The sequence below is a fragment of the Homo sapiens genome, chromosome 13, assembly GCF_000001405.40.
Source record: "Homo sapiens chromosome 13, GRCh38.p14 Primary Assembly".
Lineage (NCBI taxonomy): Eukaryota > Metazoa > Chordata > Mammalia > Primates > Hominidae > Homo > Homo sapiens.
Genome location: NC_000013.11, coordinates 40311592 through 40319043, shown reverse-complemented (window position 1 = coordinate 40319043; position 7452 = coordinate 40311592). Strand labels below are relative to the sequence as shown.

General features: G+C 45.4%; 1 annotated feature.

Annotated features, from left to right (window-relative positions):
• Positions 998–1292: a silencer, noted in NCBI's record as "tiled region #8959; HepG2 Repressive non-DNase unmatched - State 7:EnhWF". NCBI's record gives its function as "represses a minimal TATA promoter and a strong SV40 promoter by Sharpr-MPRA in HepG2 cells {active_cell/tissue: HepG2}" and the evidence as "EXISTENCE:reporter gene assay evidence [ECO:0000049][PMID:27701403]".

Here is a 7452-nt window from a genome sequence, read left to right as displayed (position 1 = left end):
ATAAACCCTAAACCTGTCATATAGTAAAGGCAAAATACATGTTTATGAAATCTCTCAATTGATTAATTCATTGATTGATCAATAAATAAACAAATTTGACATTGATAAGTAAATAAGATACAGTTTTGAGGAAGTTACTTTGATATGGTAAATTGGAACCCTATTATGCAAGAACTTGTAAATCACAGATGCTCAGGAAAAATTTGTTGGTTGGAGAATGATAGGGTCATATCACAGCACTGTTTTGTATTTATAGGAGGTTTTCTCTAAGACAAAAATGGCTCTGGATTCTATTAATACATCCCTCTGCAGTGAAAAGCACTAATCATTGGGATTTTTCTGGGGAGAGACCAGAGGTGAGGGAGGGGACACACAGCTTGCCCAGAACCTGTGTGAGCCACTGGCCCAGCTGGCATGGAGAGGGACACCGGAGTGTTCTTGCTGGCTGGCAGAGTGCCAAGTCCTACAGCTACTGCTTGTAGATAATCCTTACAAAGCTCTCATGAGATGACTTGGCCGTACTTGCTCCAGAATGACAATAGCACCTGGAAGGCACATTCAGGGATTATGCAATGGAGGTCAAGAAATGGCAGATTTGAGAAAAGAAAGATCAGCTCATCAGGGTTTATATAACAGCAATCAACAGGACACAAAGTGAAGGCAGGGTCAATCAGACATCCAGATTTTTCTATCCACAAATGTGACAATATCTGAAAACTTCTGGACGGTAAGTAGAAAAGCTTGTGTTTTTTCACATATGTGGCACATTTGGGCAAACCTGAGCTAGGAACAGGCTTGTTCTTAGTTCCTAGTTCCTCCCTCAGAAGGGAGCAGGTTCACTGTTGTCATATTCTTCGAAGGATTTCACTGGATGGGAAGTGGCTAGATTTGGCTGGGGCTGTGGTTTAAGAGGCACACATGCATATGCAAATAAGCACACATGAAGTTGGAGGCTGCTTGTGTGGCTCCAGGAGTACAGTGTGCCAGGACTTCCAGAGAGAAGAAGACCCCCCTCTGGACTGAAAAAAGGGCCCTGCAGCAGCCTACTAAACCAACAGTGTTCAGGGCATTGAACCAGCCCACACCTGTGCACAGCTGGTGACAAGCATCGGTCATTAGCATCAGTAGTGATGAGAGAACACTGTAGGATAATGTGCTCAGGGAAAGAATGCAGGTAGACTCAAGCCAGTGGTGAATGTGTTGATAGTCACGGTGGTTGCTATGGATAGGGATCAGGAGACAAGGTTAAATTTCAGTTCTTAGGGAGCAGGTATCATCTGCAGTAAACAAAGAGGGCTTGCTAGGAAACAGGGCTGTGGTTGACAGCCAGCACATGTTGCTGTTGATTCGTGGAGTTGTGGGCTCACTGGACTTGAGAGGGTCCTGAGACCAGATTAAGTGATGCTGTCACTCATATTCATTCACTTGACCAATATTCATTGAATGCTTTAATGCATGGATCAAGAACTACACTAGTTGGTGGAAATTAAATAGCAAAAAATAGGAAATCTTGTCTCCTGATCTAGCCTAGTGGAGGATATGGAGAAAATGAGGCGGCCGGGCGCGGTGGCTCACGCCTGTAATCCCAGCACTTTGGGAGGCCGAGAAGGGTGGATCACGAGGTCAGGAGATCGAGACCATCCTGGCTAACACGGTGAAACCCCGTCTCTACTAAAAAAAAAAATACAAAAATTAGCCGGGCATGGTGGCGCGCGCCTGTAGTCCCAGCTACACGGGAGGCTGAGGCAGGAGAATGGCGTGAACCCGGGAGGCGGAGCTTGCAGTGAGTCGAGATCGCGCCACTGCACTCCAGCCTGGGCGACAGAGCGAAACTCCATCTCAAAAAAAAAAAAAAAAAAAAAAAAAAAAAAAAGAAAATGAGGCCATTGCAGTGTAGCATCCTCCAGGCTCCTAAAGGGGCAGCAAGCTGGGCAACGAGAGCTCACGTGGGCCTGATGGGCAGATGCTCTCCTCACTCTCTAAAGGAAGTGAGGCCCACAGGGAGATCTGAAGGACGAGAGGAACTGAGCCAGAGGGAAAAAGGAGGGCTAAAGTGTTTACTACAAGAGGGGACAATGGCTGTACAGTGGCTCAGAAGAGTCAATAGTTCTCAAAGGCTGGAATATTCGGTGGTAGAAACAAGGCAGAAGTAACCTGGCCGGGTACTGGTGAGGCTCGTTTCTCCTGGTGGTGAGGACGATGAGCCGGCAGGCTGGGTCTGTGGAGCTGATGCTCAGAACACAGAGCAAGGTGAGAGGCAGAGATTGGGGAATCACTCACATGCAGCTATTAATCAAAGGCCTGAGGGTGAATAAATCCTCCCCCCCCGGCCCCCCTAGAGAGTGTCTGGGGTGAGAAGTGAAATCCCAAGAAACCCTGACATTTAAGGAATGGGCAGAGTCCCAGGAGCACCCAAGGCCAACAGAGGCAGAGAGTTGGGAGGGAAACCAGGAGGGGTGGCAGTGAGTGTCCTAACAGGACAGCAGGTTTTAAGAACAAGGCCGTGACTGACGTTGGAAATGGGGTTGAGAAATCGAGTAAAACCAAAACAGAGAAAAGGGTCTACTCAGCACCCCGGGATGGCAGGTGACCTTGATCAGAGGCTTCCTGATGATTCAGGCATGGGGAGGGGAGTAGAGGACTGAGTAGGAGGTAAGAAAACAGCGTGGCCAGCTTTTCTAAGCCCTTTGGCATGATGGCAAGACAGAGGTGGGTTGGAACTGGAAGACGTTGGTGCGGAAGCACATTTTTAAGATGGAAGAGATGAGAGTATATTTGAATCTTACTGAGGGCAACAGAAGGCTAAAATATTTCGGCACAGGTAGGGGTGGCTTCCTCTGTTTAGGTCTGCTGTGGCTTCTGAGAAGAGCGAGTGGAAGATGTGTCCTGTATTATGGCAAATCCAGAACCCATTTAGATGTGTGCGGGGGCAAGGGACTGAGCTCTGGGAGCAGACGGTGGGGGCTGAGTCCTGCCACTTGCATATCCTGGCTGTGTGATCTTCAGCACACCACTTAATCTCTCTGAGCCTCAGTTTCTTCATCTGCAACAATAAAATCTACCTCGTAAAGCTATTTTAAAAATGAAATGCAATGGTGTACGTAAAGCTGTCAGCACAGTGCCTGGTGAACGTGCATCTACGTCTAGCTTTCTTATCAGTTGTTCCACGTCAGAAGGATGGCTGCCTGTCTGTAGCCTGTCCATTCAGTGGAGATGCTGGGAGCCTCCTCCAGGTGTCCGCCTCTATCTTGAAAAGGATGAGGGCTCATTGTCTGCGCTCTGCTAAGGTCTCTTTCCCAGTCCCAGATGCAGTGTGCAGCTCCCTGTTGATCTCCAGGATGTCAAGGCTGTATTTGCTGCATGGAGAGCCTCTGGCAGAGCCCAGCTGCTGGCAGCACACCTACAGGAAACAGCGTAGCAGGACTGGGTGACACCTCAGGGGAAACCCAGCTTCATGACTCTTTGCGGGAAGCTCAGCCTCCTTTTTTTTTTTCTGCTTTTTTTTCTGCAGGCAGGAATCTGCTTTCTGCAGGCAGGATGGAGCTCCTGGAACACTATATGCTACTTCTGAGATTTCTTCTTTGTTTTTGAACGTCACCACCATGTCTCTAGTGTGATGTAATAAGAAGGGATCACCCGGCGGAGGAAAAGGATTCCTCATTTTCTAAACCAGATACTATGTTTCTTTCTCTTTTGCTTTCTGCTCTCTACTTCCTTCCAGTTGAGACTGTGGCTGTCTTTTTTCCCCCTCCCATTAGAGAGTTCAGTGGGCTTTTCCCCACTGGAATCAGATAGAGACTCTGGGATGGAGCTGGGGGATTTGCTGATAGTCTGGTGAACCTGAGAGGAAAACGAAGCTCAGGTCACACAGCAAGTAACAGAGTGGCCAGTCCAGGACTCAAAACTCAGGCCTCCTGACTCCTGGCCCAGTGCTCTTTTCAAAGCGTCCTTCCATAAACGATGAGGATTTTAGTAATCCATCCATCTCCCTGCAGCCTCCCTGAATGTTACAAATATTAATATACTCATCTGATACACCTTGCACACCTCCTGTGAGGCAGATCCTTTCTAGGCACTGGGGACTTATCAGCAAAACAGAAATAAATCCCTGCTCTTAAGGGGCTTATGGTTGAGTGATGGGAGACAGATAATAACCACAATAAACAAATAAATGATAGATTTTCCACAATGTCTCTCCAGGGAACATTTTCTCAACAGAATGGTTCTTGATTTTTTAAAGCCCAAACTCCATAAAATGTATATGCCTTTCTATACAATGTTTTTGAGTCAATGATTATATAGAAAAACGTGTATATTTATGACCACCTAGCTCAGTACAACATTTCAACAAAACGATTTGCCGAAATAGTCTTGAGTTCCATTCTAAATACTGTACATTTTCTTGAAAGGCATGTTGAGTGTCAGCATGGGGTGTGTGTCTTGGTGGTTGTTAGAACTAAGAGGGGAGCCACTGCAGGTCATCAAGCAACTCTTTGTTACAAACATGAATTTTTTGGTGACCAGGAAGCCATGCTTGAGGCATTTTACATTCTAACATGAGAGTTCATTATTTATATACAGATAGATAGGTGTTTTGCTGTATATTAGTTACATTTAAAAATTTGATTGAGAGTCTTGGGTGGTGGATGTGAAACATTGTAGCTTTTCCCAGGTAAAGTCATAGGAAAGACTCTGAGTTAGAGTTTTTGTGCAGAAGACTGATTTTCAAGAATCTCTTCTTGATGTTAAGTATGTGGTTGGAAGGTGAGAGGTGTTGGAAAATACTAGACCTGAATTTGTTCAGAGTCTCATAGCAATGCCTGGTTGAGACTCTGGTCTCAGCCTTAGTGTCCCCATGGGTGACAGGTCCCGTTTGTGGGGGGAGCTAGCACAGGAAATGACCAAAGAGTCAGATCCATTTAGGTGGACACCCTGGCTATGAACTTGTCCTTCCCTTGGCTCAGTAATGATGACCATGACCACTTGCAAAATAACTTCAGCAGGAAATGCAAAGTGATTCTCTCATTGAGTTCAATGTGAATCACTTGCCAGGAGAGGTGGCTCAATTCCATGAGCGTTTTCTTTTTTTTTGAATGGTAACTGTGGAATGGTAGGAAGCGTCCCACAAAGGATTTCCTTTGGTCATTGTTTTTTTTTTTTTTTTTTTTTTTTTTTGCTGAGGAAAAATATGTTATTGGGGAGGGATAAGAATCTCCCTCCCTTTGTGAGTTCTGTGATTCAGAGTTTAAAAGGCCAGTGACAGGATCTGGGTCACAGCGTTGGTTTCCTTCTTATGTGAGACCTTGTGCTTCATACGTCTGTCCCTTTAAATATTGGGACTGGAGCTCCATATTCTGTCTCATGTTTATACTTGGTCACATGGTGAAAGGTGGATTCCTTGAAGCTAGACTCTGTACTAAGGGAAATACCATGCATTGGAATAACCCAATCCTGCATTTTAACTTGTAGAGTTAAAAGGTCACTTCTTCCTACATCCTTCCTAAGCAGAAGAACCCCCGCTCCCCGCCCACTCCTAGTGACAGCTGAGTGAGGCCGGTGTGCTCCCAGCCTATCTGATCCTGTGTGGGTATATTTGCCAGGGTTTTCCAGAGACAGAACCAATGGCATGTGTGTATGTATAGAAAGAGATTTATTTTGAAGAACTGACTCACAGGATTACGGAGGCCGGCAAGTCCAAAGTCTGCAGGATGAAGGCCCAGAAGCAGCCAATGCTGCGGTTCAAGTCTGCAGGCCGTCTGCTGACAGAGTTCCTTTTTGCTCATCAGTCCTTTGTTTTATTCAGGCCTGCAAATGATTAGATGAGGCCCTCCCACATTAGAGAGGGTGATGTGCTTTACTCAAAGTCCACCAATTTAAATGTAAGTCTCATCCAAAAATCCCCCCACAGAAACATCCAGTATAATGTTAACAAGATAGTTGGGCCCCACAGCCCAACCAAACTGACATAAAATTAGCCATCAAGGTGGGGTTCAGCAACTAAAATATTATATGTACTAATGTTCAGCAACTAAACCACACACACACACACACACACACACACACACACACACACACACACGAATTAGACTCTCCCTCTGTGGAAGGAAAGGAAGGGCAGGCCTTGAGTGAGGACAGCCTCTTCTCGCTCCTTTCTGCCTAGGATGGGCAAGGGCTATGGCACCTGGGCTATGGCTGATTAAGAGCAGCCTTGGCTACAGAGACTTTAAAAGCTGGTGTTAGCCAGTTGCAGCCCGCCTGCAGCCCTAGATTTGTGTAGGGAAGAAAGGCAAATAGCAGATGTATGTGTATGAAGAGTGCACACACACACACACACACACACACACGTGGGAGGCAGAGTAACAGAATGGTTGGTGGTGTACAGAGTATATGGGGTATGGAGCCGCTCTGCCTGGTTGGAATGCCAGCTTATGCTAGACTTGCTGTGTAACTGTGGGCAAGCTACTTAACCTCTCTCTGCTCAGTTCCCTCATCAAATTAGGGAGGGAATTCATACATCCTAGGCTGTGAGGATTAAATGAGGTAGTAGCTGTAAAGTGCCTATAAGATCGCCTGACACATAAGTCCTGGACGATATCAGTTCTCGTTATTATCCTTATCATGTACACAATGCTCATCAACTGTCTATGTTCACATATTACACATGGTTATTGGTAAGCAAACACAACCTATACTTCTGGCAAATACACATACAGTGGGAATTTTATGCCAAAATCTTTCTAATGTATGCTTGCAGGGGCCATGCTGGATATTGCTTCATAAAAAGATATTTTTTGGTACTTTATTAACAAAATTCCATTGGATAGAATCCAGGTCATATTCACTCTAAATTAAATTAATGTTTTCTTTTCTTTTTTTTTTTTTTTTTTTTAAAACAGTGTTACAGCAAGATGCCCGCATGGCATTGGAGTAAATATAGCATTTTGGGCTTGTGAGGATCATTTGCAGCCAGACAGCCTTTCTGCTGGGGAGGGGAGAGTGCAGGAGGTCCCACCCTTGGTTGTCGCACACTCGGTGAGCATGTCGCTAGCCACCTGAGGCTCAGGTGTGCCTGAGGCTGCTGGAGCTGGCGCGGATAATGATAGCTGGTGGGCTTCAGTGTGAGCTGGCTCCTTCTCTCTGATAAATGGCTCCACAGATGCTGCCAGCTTCATGCTCAATTAATCCCAGCTGAATTGATCATCCAGTTATAAAGAAAAGCATTAGCAATAAAGCAAAACTTCCCAAAGAGCTTTTATGGGGAGGAGGAAAGGAAGTGAATTGGTTTTTTTCTTTAATTTTTTTTTTAAAGAAATTAAGATGATGAACTGTGTTTGAAAAGAAACCAGCGCCAGCCTTCTCTCTACCCAGCTGACTCAACCCTAAGGGGGTGGGATAATAAGTAATTTTTTTTTCACCTAGTTATCTCAGGAATCTTCGAAAGAAAATATTTTT